The 14,696-nt window shown below is 38.2% G+C and overlaps 1 protein-coding gene across 4 annotated transcripts in view; it reads left to right on the top strand.

Annotated features, from left to right (window-relative positions):
* Nucleotides 1-14,696, top strand: part of CRPPA (CDP-L-ribitol pyrophosphorylase A) — a 334,014-nt gene that overhangs the window by 43,786 nt on the left and 275,532 nt on the right. For 3 of the 4 annotated variants that reach the window (NR_160656.1, NM_001368197.1, NM_001101426.4), the window contains exon 3: nt 1,512-1,661. The exons of the other annotated variant lie outside the window; for it this stretch is intronic. Coding sequence is in view for 2 of the 3 variants with exons in the window: in NM_001368197.1 (NP_001355126.1) it covers nt 1,512-1,661 (150 nt within the window). In the remaining variant the exon portion in view is untranslated. The remainder of the gene's footprint in view (nt 1-1,511; nt 1,662-14,696) is intronic. 4 annotated transcript variants of the gene reach the window in all.

Below are 14,696 nucleotides of genomic sequence, written 5' to 3'. Positions count from 1 at the left end.
TTTTAGCCATACCTACTCTGAGTAGAGCATCCATTACACTGAGCTGGCTGGAGTATAGAAGAAGAAACGGGTCACGGCTTGAGTACTACAGAGTCTGTTCTTACCAAAATGTAGTAGATTTTCTGGAATAAATGTTTCTTCATTTGCTGAATGTCCTTAGGACAATTTTCAGAGGCTTTTAATGGTTCTTAAAATACTTTTCACTAGTTTCAATGAGGACGGAGTCTGCAGAGCTCCTTGCATTGGCATTTTGGATGTCTCATGTTCTCTTAAGTATTTTTTAACTTCATGCCCTGATATAGAATTCCAAAAATATACGTAGTTTCAGTGGAATCTTTTTTCTTAAAGCAGCATGCATGTTTGTGTGTACATGCATTTCCTTCCTGTCTTATCTTCTAGCTCTACTGATAGGTACTGGGCTTGACCAGTTGACCTACCCTTCACCTATTTGGATACTACTTCCTCTTTGTCACCCTGTGTCCTCATTTTTGTTTTTATGCCTAGGTTCCAAATTTCTGCTTGAGGCACTGGAAGGTGTGACACAATTTATAAACCGTCTCTTTGGCTCATACATTTGCTTTGATTTTCAGCCAGTCCCTTGGCTTTTGCAAACCAATGTGTGGACTATCTATCTTGTTCAGATGTTGGTCTCATCAAGAAGACATTTGTTTTACTTGTGCACTAATTTCATATGCTGCAATCATCCCCATGTAGCAATTGTGTGGAAGAAAGGATGTTTTGGAGTAAATATAAGGTTTGGTTAACTGCCCACCATTGAACTATATTTTAAAGCGGTTTCACTAAGGCAGTTCTTCTGGTAATGGCCTTCAAAACTGTCTTACAATGGGACTCCAAAAAAGATAAAGGGAAAAATTGTCAGACATGAAATGTCTCTTCTAAAGTTCAGATGCAACTATTATTGAGAGAACTTTCATCATAGCAATTGAAGTCAATGGGTATTGCCTGAGGAAGCATTGCATGGAGACTGTGTTTGACAGGAACTGTTTTTCCTTGTGAATTAGAGCAAGACACAAATTAGAGCAACCCACATTGTTTGGGTTATTGAGTCTCATCTAGGGGATCTTGGAGAACTTGTTTATTTCCTTAAGTATCTAATATGTAACTCTCCTGAGGGTATACTAATATTAATTTGCAATCCATATCAATTATTTCATGATAGTCTTTCTCTGCCTCCTTCATCTTTAGGGAACACCCAATTGGATCTTAGCATCTTTTTTTTTAGTGTTGACTTCAATGGCCTGTGATCAGAAGGATTTTGAACTTATAATGAAGGAAAATTTCACCTTAATGTATGGAACTGTAATACTACAAAATTGATTTTTTTTACCTGAAATAACCATTTTTGAACCAATCACACTTACTCAGATGTTTTCTTAAGGTAGCTTGTTGAAGGTATGAATAAGATCTGTCAAAAGTGAGATACTGAATTCAGAATTTCACTTTAAAATGGCTTGTAGGTGAAATATATTCTTTGCCTCTTTGTTCTTCAGGCAGCAGGAGCCATTCGACCTCTTGTATCTACTGTCGTCAGTCCATCTGCTGATGGTTGCTTAGACTACTCGCTAGAACGTGCCAGACACAGAGCAAGTGAAATGCCCCAAGCTTTTCTATTTGATGTGATTTATGAAGCATATCAGCAGGTAAGAATTTGGGCTTTTTGAATAAGCTGCTGTTATGTCAGGTTCCCCAAACAACCTCCACATTTGGAGAATTTCCAGAACTGATGGGACTGAGCGTATAGTTATACTCAAGGCTAAGACTTATTACAATGAAGTATTAAGGTTATAGAGCTGGATCAGAAGAGAGAGATGCAGGCAGAATGTTGAGGATCCGTTTGCAGGCTTCTAGATGCTCTTTTCCCTCCCTCTCCTGAAGGATCATGCAAAGCACACCTTCCTTCCAGCAGTGAAAATTCAGCAAATTGTGTGTGACATTTATGCCCAGGGAGGGCTGTTAGAGATACAATGCCCAGGGTGTTCGATTGGTCATCTGGATATCCTCTGCTTGGCACATACAAAAATTCCAGATTTCCAGAAGGAAAGTTGGTGTTCAGCATAAATCATATTGTTGATACCAACAGTCTAGGCAGGCACACTGACTTGCCCTTGTCAGTTAATTCTCAGATGCTGGCTGAGGGCCTGTCTTATAAGCCAGTCTTTTTAAGAACAGCAGTCTCAGATGTACTATGGTAAGTTATCTATACAGCTCCTTAGACATTTTGTTAATCAAAATTTTAGTTAAAAGTAAGTAACTTAAAAATCAAGTAATTTCTTTAATATTACTGGATTGCTTCTGGTTTTCATGTTTTGGAAATGCTGCTGTACTTACATAATTTTATTGTCATTTGTTTGCACATTGAGTAAATAGTTATTGAATATCAGATATTGAGCTTGTCAGAAACTTCCCAATGATGATAAGTTTGAGCAACTAATCTAGTGCTTTAGTCAACTTGCTATAGGAGGTGAGGAAGAATTAGGTAAGGGGATAGAAGAGTGGCCATAAGGATTAGAGGGTAGTATCCCAGAAACTTAATGCAGAAAGTACTTTCTGATTGAGCTGAATCAGATACAAGCTGATCCATGGTCATCGTAGAACATGGCAAAGTAAAAGGAGGTGTGCAGTTTTAGGTTATAGATAACTTTTCCTCTTCAAATGGTACTGGAAGGTCACAGATGTCTAATTGCCATTCTGTTAAATGTTGCCTAGGATTTCTAAAAAGTGAGGACTGAGAACTGTACATCAACATTTGAAATGTGAGATTACCAGTGTTTGATGGGAGTGGTGGATATGAAAATCTTGTTGGAATTGATCTAAGAATAGAAGGGCTGATTTTTGGAGGAACTTTTATACATATTGAGTAGAGAAATGGGAGGAGGTAGCTGAATAGTTATAGATTAAGTTTGATTTTTTTTTCAGGTGGATGATAAAACAGCACACTGTTATGCTGATGGGGGTGATTCCACAGTGAGAAGACAGTGGTAAAGTGAGAGTGGATGGGACCTACTGCATTAGTGGTATTGAAGTTGACCTTGGCTGGGAATATGGATAGTTCATCCATGGGGACAGGAGGAAAGAGTAGGTGAAGAAAGATGCAGATAGACTGGTAGATGTGATGAGAAGACTTGGAATTTGTCCCTTTTGAGGAATGCATGCAGAAAATACATAATAGTGTTGACCATTTGGGAGCTGAGCAGTGCATTAGGGTTCTCCAGAGGAACAGAACTAATAGGATATATGTGTATATGAAAGAGAATTTATTAGGGAGAATTGGCTCACACAGTTACAAGGTGAAGTCCCACAATAGGCCGTCTGCAAGCTGGGGAAGAAAGAAGCTGGTAGTGGTTCAATTCAAGTCCAAAAGCCTCAAAAGTAGAGAAGTTGAGAGTGCAGCCTTCAAAGGCTGAAGAGCCTGTTGTCTGATGTCCAAGGGCAGAGGGAACAGGAGTAAGCATCCAGCACAGGAGAAAGATGATAGCCAGAAGACTTAGCAAGCCAGCTTATCCCACCTTCTTCTGCCTGCTTCGTTCTAGCTGTGCTGGCAACCAATTGAATTGTCCCACCCACATTGAAGGTGGGTTTTCCTCTCCCAGTCCACCGACTCAAATGTCACTCCCCTCTGGCAACACCCTCACAGACACATCCAGAGACAATACCAGCTATTTAGGCATCCTTTAATCTAATCAAGTTAATACCTAATATTAACCATCACAAGCAGATATCTGGCAATTGTAACCAAGGTGTCATATGAAGTTAGTCAGTTAGAAGAAACTCACTGCAAGCTGATCCATGGTCACTGTTGAATGTGGCAAAATAAAAGGTGTGCAGTTTTAGGTTATAGATAACTCTTCCTCTTCAAATGGTGCTGGAAGGTCACAGATGTCTAACTGCCATTCTATATGCTGACTGGCTGGATTGCTTCTTCTCCCTGTTTCTTCTGGCTTATCTCATTTGCCCCCTTATATATGCTCTAGCCATGCTTACTCTAATTCTTCAAATACAAGATTCCCACTATCTAGAACCTTACTTTCTACCTTGCTGCTTATTATTTAGTTATCCTGTAATTATCATTTATTCAAGGAATTCTTTTCTGTCTGGCCACACCAGGTTAGGCTGACCCGTTCTGTGTTCTTTTAGTGCCTGTTTTTCATCTCTCCCCAGCATCAGACTTACAATTGAATAATTACTTGAAGTCATTTGTGAAATGTCAAACTCCTCTGCTAGGCTGTGAGCCCTGTGAAGGCAGGGATGGTATCTGTCTTCTTCTTAGCAATCTGCCTGGTATATTACTAACACCAAGTATATATTTGTTCAAACGAATGATCATAAAAGGCTGTGCATATAAATGTATTAAAAATGGTCCACATGCTTGCTCTTCCTCTGCCTAGGTCACTCTTTCCAGATCTTAAACTGCTTATTTCTATTCTTTTTTTTTTCTGAGATGGAGTTTCGCTCTTGTTGCCCAGGCTAGACTGCAATGGTACAGTCTTGGCTCACTGCAACATCTGCCTCCTGGGTTCAAGCGATTCTCCTGCCTCAGCCTCCCAAATAGCTGGGATTACAGGTGCCCGCCACCATGCCGGGCTAATTTTTTGTATTTTTAGTAAAGATGGGGTTTCACCATGTTGGCCAGGCTGGTCTCAAACTTCTGACCTCAGGTGAACCGTCTGCGTTGGCCTCCCAAAGTGTTGGGATTACAGGCATGAGCCACCACACTTGGCTTATTTCCACTCTCTATTGAGGTCTGTAGCAAACATCACCTCCTCAAAGAAGTCTTACCTGATAATCTTATAATCTTAAAGTAGCAGCATCTATCATGTATCCCTTTTTCTGGTATAAGGATCACTACTCCTGCCCACTTTTGGTTTCCATTTGGTTTGCTTGCAATGTATTTTTCCACCTCTTTACCTTAAGTTTATGTGAGAGTCCTTATGTGTTAGGTAAGTCTCCTGAAGACAGCAGATACTTGGTTGGCTTTATCCATTCTGCCATTCTGTGTCTTTTAATACAGCATATAGGCCATTTACATTCAATGTTACTATTGAGATGTGAGGTACTGTTCTATTTATCATGTTAGCTCTTACCTAGGTCCTTTTTTTCATTATGTTATTGTTTTATAGACCCTGTGAGGTTTATGTGGAGGAGGTTCGATTGTGATATATCAAGCTTTTGTTTCAAGATTTAGAACTCATTTTAGCATTTCTTGTAGTGCTGGTTTGGTAGTGGCAAATTTTCTCAGCATTTGTTTGTGTGAAAAAGATTTTATCTCTCCTTCATTTATGAAGCTTAGTTTGGCTGAATAGAAAATTCTTGGCTGACAATTATTTGTTTCAGGAGGCTAAAGATAGGACCCCAATCCCTCTGGCATGTAAGGTTTCTGCTGAGAAATCTGCTGTTAGTCTAATAGGTTTTCCTTTGTAGGTTACCTGATGCTTTTCTCTCATAGCTCTTAACATTTCTTTCATTTGTCTTGACGTTAGATAGCCTGATGACTATGTGCCTTGGTGATGGTCTTTTTGCAATGAATTTCCCAGGAGTTTTTTGAGCTGCTTGTATTTGGATGTCTAGATCTCTAGCAAGGTTAGGAAGTTTTCCTCAATTATTTCCTCAAATAAGTTTTCCAAACTCTTAGACTTCATTTCTCCCTCAGGCACACCAATTATTCTTAGGTTGGTAATCCAATATTTCTTGGAGACTTTGTTCTTTTTTTAAAATTTTTTTTTTACTTCGTCTGATTGGGTTAATTCAAAAGCTTTGTCTTCAAGCTCTGAAATTCTTTCTTCTGCGTCTTCTAGTCTGTTGTTGAAACTTTCCACTGCATTTTGTATTTCCCTAGGTGTGTCTTTCCTTTTCAGAAGTTCTGATTGTTTTTTCATTATGATATCTATTTCTCTGGAATTTTTTTCATTTATATCATAGATTTAAAAAAAGTCTTTAAGTTGTTTTTCACCTTTCTCTGGTATCTCCTTGAATAGCTTAATAATCAACTTTCTGAATTCTTATATCTGGCATTTCAGAGATTTCATCTTGGTTTGTATCCATTGCTTGGGATCTAGTGTGTTCTTTTATAGGTTGTTATAGAACCCTGTTTTGTCATACTGCCAGAATTACTTTTCTGATTCTTTCTTATTTGGGTAGACTATTTCTTCAAATTGTTCTTGAATTTATTTTTTGATTGGACTGTGGGTTTTTTTTTAATTTATTTTTTTCCCCTTTCAAGGATCTGACTTTAATGTTTATTACAGCCTAATTTGATTTTTGGTGCTTTTAGGGGAGAAGATGCTGCATGAGTTCCTGAGTTATAGAGGATCTTTGTGCACTGGCTTTCCCAGATGCTGATTGTAGGAGTTGGGTACTTGGTGTGTGGGCAAGTTGAATGTCTCCTATGGGGTTTGAATGGCAGGAATCTCTTGAAGCTTATCTCATTCTGTTGTGGTATACAGTTTAATTTTTCTCCAGTATTTTATTTACTGAGTTGATTCAGGCTTCAGGTCAATAGGGAGGTATCCTTTGGTAGGTACCAGTTGTAGCTAAGGCAAGTGAGTAGATGTAATACTCAATGGTGGGCAGAGGTCCTAGCCTTGATAAAGGTGGCTGGGGGAGCTCTCAATTAGACATGCTGAAGATTTATTAGATGAAGGGTGGGAGCTACCTCAGCTCCCCTGCCAGGCCAGCAGGAAAGCGATCTACCTCATAGCCTCACTCCTGTTCCAGTGTTCTGGCTATTCATATCAAACAGGCAGCTCTTTTCATCTGTAGGAATGTTGATGTTCCAAGTAGGGAGGAATTGTGACTCTGCCTCTCATGCAAGCCTGAATCCAGGAGTGCCCCTTCTGTGGGAGTGCAATCACCCTGAATTGTTCCAGGAAGGCTGTTGGTAGGTGCACTCACACTGCATTCCTGTGGGAGAAGCCTCAGCTGTGTCTGCAGTGTGGTGTATGGGGTGGCAGGTGGGGGAGGGCAGAGGACAAGGACCCCTTCTCCAAAACCCTTCATGATTACAGAGGCTGCCTGCCTGTTGGTGTAGAGGTGCAGACTTTCCCTACTGCACAGCACTGCAATTATGTCTCTGCTGTAAGAAACTTCCCACCAGCGGAAAGATCTGGGACTCGAGGCCTGTTGTTTAGATTCTCTTGTCCCACAGGGTGTTTCCTTGATGTAGTGCCCTCTCCCTTTCCCTAGGAATGGGACTTCCTGAGTGCTAGACTGCAGTGATATTGCTCTTCTGGGTCTAGCCACCCAGTGGGGCTACCAGACTCTGGACTGGTGCTGGGGAATGTCTGCAAGGGATCCAATGATGTATTCAAGTCTCCCAGCAGTGGGTTCAGCTCTGATGGAGGTGGCAGGGGACTGACACAGACTCTGAGATTCCTTGGTTGTACATTGGCTTATTTCCCTGCAGAAATAGCAACTATGGCTTTCAGGCCATGTCCCTCCCCATCTCCCCACAAGGCTGGGCACCCAGATCCTGCACTCCTATCTGTGGCACACTTCCAGCTTACCCTTGGGTTCTGTTCAAGGGAGTTTATCCCCACTTGAGATTATATCACAGAATTCAGTTGTGAGCTTCTTTCACCCTGCAACCCCTCCCTGAGTTCATTGGCTAACTTCCCTGAGGGCTTCTCTGAAATATAGTCAGGAATGGCTTCCCTTGGCTAGTGCTGGAGACTGGGAGTGCCTGCAAGGGACTTCCTGCTGTTGCTTCCACTTTTATATTTCACACCACTCCCTAAATCCAGTCCAGCTCTGGGTAGGGTTAAGAGCTTCTGCTGTGGTTTGGATTTTCAGATTCCCCAGTGGGGATGTATGATTGGAGGCAGACTTTCCCCCTCTCACATTCTGGACATTTAGAGTTTTTCATCTGTCTTCACAGAGTAGGCTGCAGCCTGCCACTTCTTTCAAAGGGTCTGTGGATTCTTTTGTATTTTTCCTGTTAAGTTCCTATTGTGGTTCTTGGGGGAAAAAAAAATCACAATGTGAATCTCTACCCCCTATTCTGTCCTTCCAAGTGAGCTAGTCACGCTAATACTGCCTGCTATCTGCCATCTTGGGGGCAAAAAAAAGATCATACTTATTTTGTTCTGCTTTAGTTTTGCTTATTAGATATCACTACCTGATATATCTTTTTTGGTGTGTATCTTTCCTATTAAAACCTCAGTTCTGTGAGGGCAGGTGAAGGAAGAGAAAGACCGTCTCATATTATTTTATACTGTTTTATACTCAGTACCTGTTTTAAGAAAAAACAACAAGGAAGTAAAACCAAAGACAGGCAGCCTGGTGCCAGGCCCGAAACCAGGCCTGGGCCTGCCTGGCTTAAACCCAGTAGTTAAAAATCAACTCATAACTTAGAAACCAATGTTATTCATAGATTCCAGACATTGTATAGAAGAACATTGTGAAACTCCCTGCCCTGTTCTGTTTCTCTCTGACCACCAGTGCATGCAGCCCCTGTCATGTACCCCCTGCTTGCTCAAATCAGTCACGACCCTTTCATGTGAAATCTTTAGTGTTGGGAGCCCTTAAAATGAACAGAAATTGTGCACTCGGGGAGCTCAGATTTTAAGGCAGTAGCTTGCCGATGCTCCCAGCTGAATAAAGCCCTTCCTTCTACAACTTGGTGTCTGAGAGGTTTTGTCTGTGGCTCTTCCTGCTACACAGGGACTTTGTCTTGTTCAGTCTCATTTCTAGCACCTAGAAGAGTTTATGGCATGGATTAGGTTCTTAAATATTGCTGGATGAATTTCATGTGTATACATATATGTAGACACATATTTTATATGTTAACACTAATGCCAGTTATATAAACAGATTTGATGTGAGTTATATATGTGCATATATTAAGTACATACACATTAATGAAATCCCCTTAAATCTCTAAGAAATTCATCTGAAAAATTATTGGAAGTATGGGCAAAGATCCGTGTGTAAGGTTGGTGATTTGCAGCATTTTTATAAGTGTGGTCATTTTTACTGAACCTTTATTTCTAGAGATCAATAAAATTGTGACATTTATTAATAGAAGCTTTAAAGGGTCACTAAAAATTATTTTTGCAGAATTTGATCATGAAATTGTTGATGTTAGAGTGTTACTGAGAAACTAATATATAAAGTTGTAATAACAACTATATAAAATCTATATATGCCTGTTTGTAAGTGTAAGTGCACACACAAAATCAGAAAGGTTGATGGCACTTGTGAAAACCAAAATGCTACTAGTGCCAATGTCTGGATTGATAATTTAAAAGTCAAAATCTATTGTATTTTACTTAAGATACATAAATTCGTATGTGTTTGTTTTCAAAGAATCTTGGGCTTTTCCATGTAACTAGGTATTTGTTCAGTTTTATTTTATTAAGATTGGAGACGAAAACTATTTCATCCTTGAGAATTTTTACTGACACATTAGGAGTTTGCTAAAGGAAAATATTTCTAAAGAAAATAACAAAAGAATAATACAAATTTCAAGAGTGGAAACTATGCGATCTTCAGGAACATGAAGAAAAGCCCACGGATTGGTCCAGTGGATTCTTATTGAATCTTCAAATGTGAAATTCTTTTCTGTGCAATTTGAGGAAAAATAATAAATTATTATACAAAGAAGCTTTTTAAAATTCATTTCCTGTGAAAATTGGTGTTATGCTCACAGATGGTATTCTGAATTTTATTGTTCAGAGACCTGGCCTTGATTCTAACACAAGGTTTTTGTACATAGAGAATTTTAGAAGGTAATTTGTCAATTAGGTTTGAATGAAAATTCATGAAAGATACAGCAGGATTCAGCCAGTGACAGAATCAGTCTCTGGGGTGTTAATTATGTACCTTTTGCTTTGATTTCTTAGACTTGACGATGGAGACATGTAATATTTAAGTGTTAATCTTATAATGGAGATTGAGAAGGTGTATTTTTTAAGTGCCTGTTTAACTTAATTGAAACAACCCCTCCCCGCATTTTTAAAGATTCCCGTCGCTTATCTGTGGGTAGCTGAATATAATAGCTATAAAATTAAAGAAATATGACAGGAATTCCCATTCATAATTCATAGCCTGCCTGTACCCCACATGCTAGAATAAATAAGACTTGTATCTCGTACTGTCAACAAGTTTGGGCTTTAAATACTGAGTTAACAGGAACAAGTCAAAAAGATGAAATTTTATGAAGTGTCTTTTCTTTATATTCACCAATGTACCCCACATGCTAGAATAAATAAGACTTGTATCTCGTACTGTCAACAAGTTTGGGTTTTAAATACTGAGTTAACAGGAACAAGTCAAAAAGATGAAATTTTATGAAGTGTCTTTTCTTTATATTCACCAAGCATTACAACTCTCAGAAGTTTTATTTCAGTTTTTACAGTGTAGTTCCCCATTTCTTCTCCTTTCCTGCCTTCCTCCCTGGCTGTTTTTGCTTAGTTGTTCGGTTGTGCCTGGATTGGATTTGCAGATAAGGAAGAGCCTCAGGGGAAACCTCATGTCACATTGAGTTTTAGGATAGGGGGCACAGTGGGCACAGGGAGCAAGGGGTATAGTAGAAAGAGATAAGAAGGCATAAGTTTTTTTTTTAAATTTTGACAAATGGAGATTTGAGGAAAGGGGCAAGGAATGAAAAGATCCTCAGGAGGGTGAGTGAAAGAACATATGAAGAAAAATGATTTATAAAGAGAAATGAGTAGGGATTTAAAGATGAAGCTTTGAGTCAGAAAGAGCTGACTTGTTACTTTAGTGAAAGTATTTGCAAACCATTGTTTCTTACACAAGTCAGTTGCAAACCACAGTACCAAAGTGGCACATCGCAGTTATTAATGAAAACATGATCTATATGTTTATGGTATTTCATCAGAGGAAGTAAATTGACAATCTTGGTGATGGACTTGGAAAGTGTTTATCTCTTCACGGTCATGCGTCTTCCTATTTGTCATATTTCCCATGTTTTTTTTTTTTTATTTTTCTCCCTCTTGCCTTTTTTTTTTTAATTCTCTCAATTATTCTACTAGGTAGGTTCATATAGTCATGTCATTTTCTTTGGTTCCATTTTGGAAAAATTATGAAGAGCTGTAGAAAAAATGATCTGGTGACTTGGCTGGGATCTTCTTTGAGTATACTCTTTGCTATCCCCAGAAATTTCATTCTCAACCATTAGCCTAAAAGCATAAATTACTTTTATCTGTTTTCAGTTCATATGTATGGCAGTTTAGAAGTGATTCTAGTTCTGTAAGTTTCTGTGAGTTTCTATAAGACTAATAAATATAGTTATATAAGGTTAGCAGTGGTTATAGTTTCAGCCACATCTTCTGTAGCTTTTAATGATCTTTAATTTTCTAGCTTTTGTCAATTTGATGGCTGTATATTGATTTGTGTTTTAATTGAACTACATTGCTAGTGAGGATGCAGCTTTGTATGTTTGTTCATGTTTGTGTTACTTATTGCTATGGTCTGAACGTCTGTGTTTCCCCTAAAATTCCTGTTGAAACCTAACCACCAAGGTGATAGTATTGAGAGGTGGCACCTTTGGGAGGTGATTAGATCATGACGGCTCTGCCTTTATGAATGAGATTAGTACACTTAGAAAAGAGGCCTGAGGGAGCTTGTTTGCCCCTTCTGCCAAGTGATGATGCAACAAGAAGGTGCTATCTATCAGGAATGGGTCCTCATCAAACACAGGGTCTGAAGCCTTGATCTTGGACTTCCCAGCCTCTCGAATTATGAGCAATAAATTCTTTTTATAAACTATGCAGTCTGAGATATTTTGTTTTAGCAGTCTAAGTGGAGTAAAGCACTTACTAACATTTCAATATGCTTTAATGTTTTTTGTCCACTGTCTTCTGGGTGTCTTATCTTTTTCTTGTTGATGTGGTAGGGTTTTGTATACATCCTAGGTACAATTTTTTTCTTGGTCTTACACATTACAAATATATTTGAATCTGTTTGTCAGTGTTGTCTTTAATACATTAATATATTACTTTGTGGCCAAATCTTGAGTTGAAGGTCTTGTTTAAGTTCTTGTCCGTATCATGGTTGTATTTTATTCTATTTTCCATTTCACACTTAGGCCTCAAGTTTGTTTGGAGGTCATTTAAAATATTCTCTGATACAGGGCACCTGCCTTTTTCATCTTTATAAAGAGAGATTTTTCAACATCATTTATAAAATCATCCATTTTTTTGACTAATTTGTGCCTCTATTATGTTGCTTTATGTAGATTTATTTCTGGGTTCATTATTCACTGTCTCCTGTGATACTACCACATTGTTTCATTTTCTGTTAATTACTTTCAAGATTATCGTTTCAGCACAGGTTCCCTAGCAAATAGAGCCTTAGGCAAGGCTTAAGTACTGATGTAAGATGATGATTACAAATCTGGCCATTATTTCACAAACACAGCTGGTCACTTCATCACATGGGGACATATCCAGACAGGCTTATCCAAAAATGTTGTATTGTTACCTCCAATGTCCTGTTCTAAGACTGAGAGTTCATCTGACATCTCCCTCTGTGTTAGCATTTCTCCCAGAGGCAGTGAACTCCTAGCTCCTTCAGTCACAGGGAGAAGCCAGATCCTATGACCTGTATCATGGTTCTCTGTCTCCAGAGGAAGCTATAGGTAGAAATCAGAGACTCTGGCTGCTGTCCTCAGTTAAAGGACCATGAGGGCCCACAAGCAGTTAGTCACTCTGGTGGAGGGAGCCTAGGAGACAGATGAGACCAAGGGAATCTGAGGCAGGGAACAAGATGTGACTGATACACTTGATATTGACCTTTATAACTTTTCTATAAATTTGAAATCTTATGTTAAGTTTCCTCCAGTTGGAAGATTTTACTGGAATTCTTTAATATTATAAATTGATCTAGGTATGTCTCTCACAGTCTGGGAGACACGTCAACAACAGGTTGTTGTTCAACATTTGTTATGTGGGCTGGCTGATGGTTAATAAAAATCAAGCCATGACAAAATTTACTCCCTGATTTGCTTGATGGGCAGATTTTAATTTACCAAAATTTTCAGGAAATAAGCAATCTTGAAACCCAAGAGAATTCATGCTTTAAATCTGGATGTTTTGTGGTGCTTAGGCCACACTGCACATTGATTACATGGCAGATAATGTTGAGCATTAGTTCATCATTGAACATTACCTATCACATCTGTATCATGCCAATTTCACTGAGCAACCTGCAAGTCTGCTGCTTCTACACAACATTTTACACACTGAAAACATTAGTTGAAATAAAGACAAGCATGCAACGCACTGCTGTGGGATTTCCTTCTCAATCAGGACTCATAGAAAATGGAATGGAGAGTTCTTCAGATGCCTCCATTCCTTATCTGCCTGGCACAAAAGGCAATATACACATACCAACTTACAGTGCAACCTTGGGTTTGGATGCTAGAATGTTTTGACTTTTAAGAATTCATTCATCAATTGATCAAACTTATTTTAGATTTGAAATTATTTTTTAAGATATTTGTCTTTTGTGTCCAGTGCTTTTAGGATGGACACTATTATTATGACCTTTTGGGTATAAGTACCTGAGGCTCAGATGCTCACATTTTATGCCTTAATGTAAAAAGACACAACTTTAACTTTCAGGCACGTAAGTGTAAAGGCTGTATTCCAATAATTATTTTCTACCCTCAGTAAATTTTATAACTGAAAAAGATCTTGGGATTAAGTTGATGTCTTTAAATTTTCTTATTTGTGAAGATAGTATAATTCATTCAGATCTGTTACATTCTTTGAAGGATTTTTTACTTTATATTAGTAATTTCTTAGATTAGTTTTTATCTGTTCTAATATGTTATTTTCTATCATGTTTTCTAACTGACATTTGCTCTTACAGTATTTTTCTGTCAGGTATATTGAACTTATAGCAGGCAAATTTATTGAACTCTGGTGTTGTTTCTATTTGAATTGTAAGTTTTCTACTCCCATGATTGTATTGTCTGCAATAACGACATATTTGTGTTTTTTTCCCCACTGGTCCTTATTTATTTATCTTTGTTGCTTTGGTCAGGACCTCCAGTATCATGTTGCAGTAATGGGGTATGTTTTTCTAGATTCCATCACTAAAGAGACTGTTTCATTTCTTAAGTATAATGCTTGATGCAGGTTTTCTTTTTTTGATAAAGACTTTATCAAATTTAATCTACCTTTAATTTTCACTTCTCTAAAAAGGCTTATTTCTCTAAAAAAATCAAATAGATATTGTGCTTTTTGAAATCTCATTCTTTTCCTACATGTAGCTATCATGTTACTTTTTTCTTTTTGTCTAATGTGAATTAGTTTGAAATCAGTAAGTCTATAATGCTATCTTTGTGATTCTGGGGTGAATACTGCTAGCTGCAATGTTTCAGACTATTGGATTTAGCTACCTGATATTTTATTTGGGATATTTTCCCTCTGTGTAAGTGAAATTCTTCTTTTTATAATTTGCTGTCCTTAACTTGCAGTGCAAAACTGTGTCAAACTTATAAAATGAGTTGGGTCATTTTTTGTTTGCTCTTTTTGGGAAAAACTTTTTAAGATATAGTCATATCTCATTATTGAAATTCCAATAGAGCTCCTCATTAAGACTTTCTAAACTTGGAGCTTCTTTAGGGGTTGGTAGGGCAGGGCAGAGGAGCAGCCTTTTGATGGTAGTTGATAATTAACATTTCAATTTCCATAATGGTTATTGAATATCTA

This window comes from Homo sapiens, chromosome 7 (genome assembly GCF_000001405.40).
Source record: "Homo sapiens chromosome 7, GRCh38.p14 Primary Assembly".
Lineage (NCBI taxonomy): Eukaryota > Metazoa > Chordata > Mammalia > Primates > Hominidae > Homo > Homo sapiens.
This window is presented reverse-complemented; position numbering and strand designations above follow the sequence as displayed.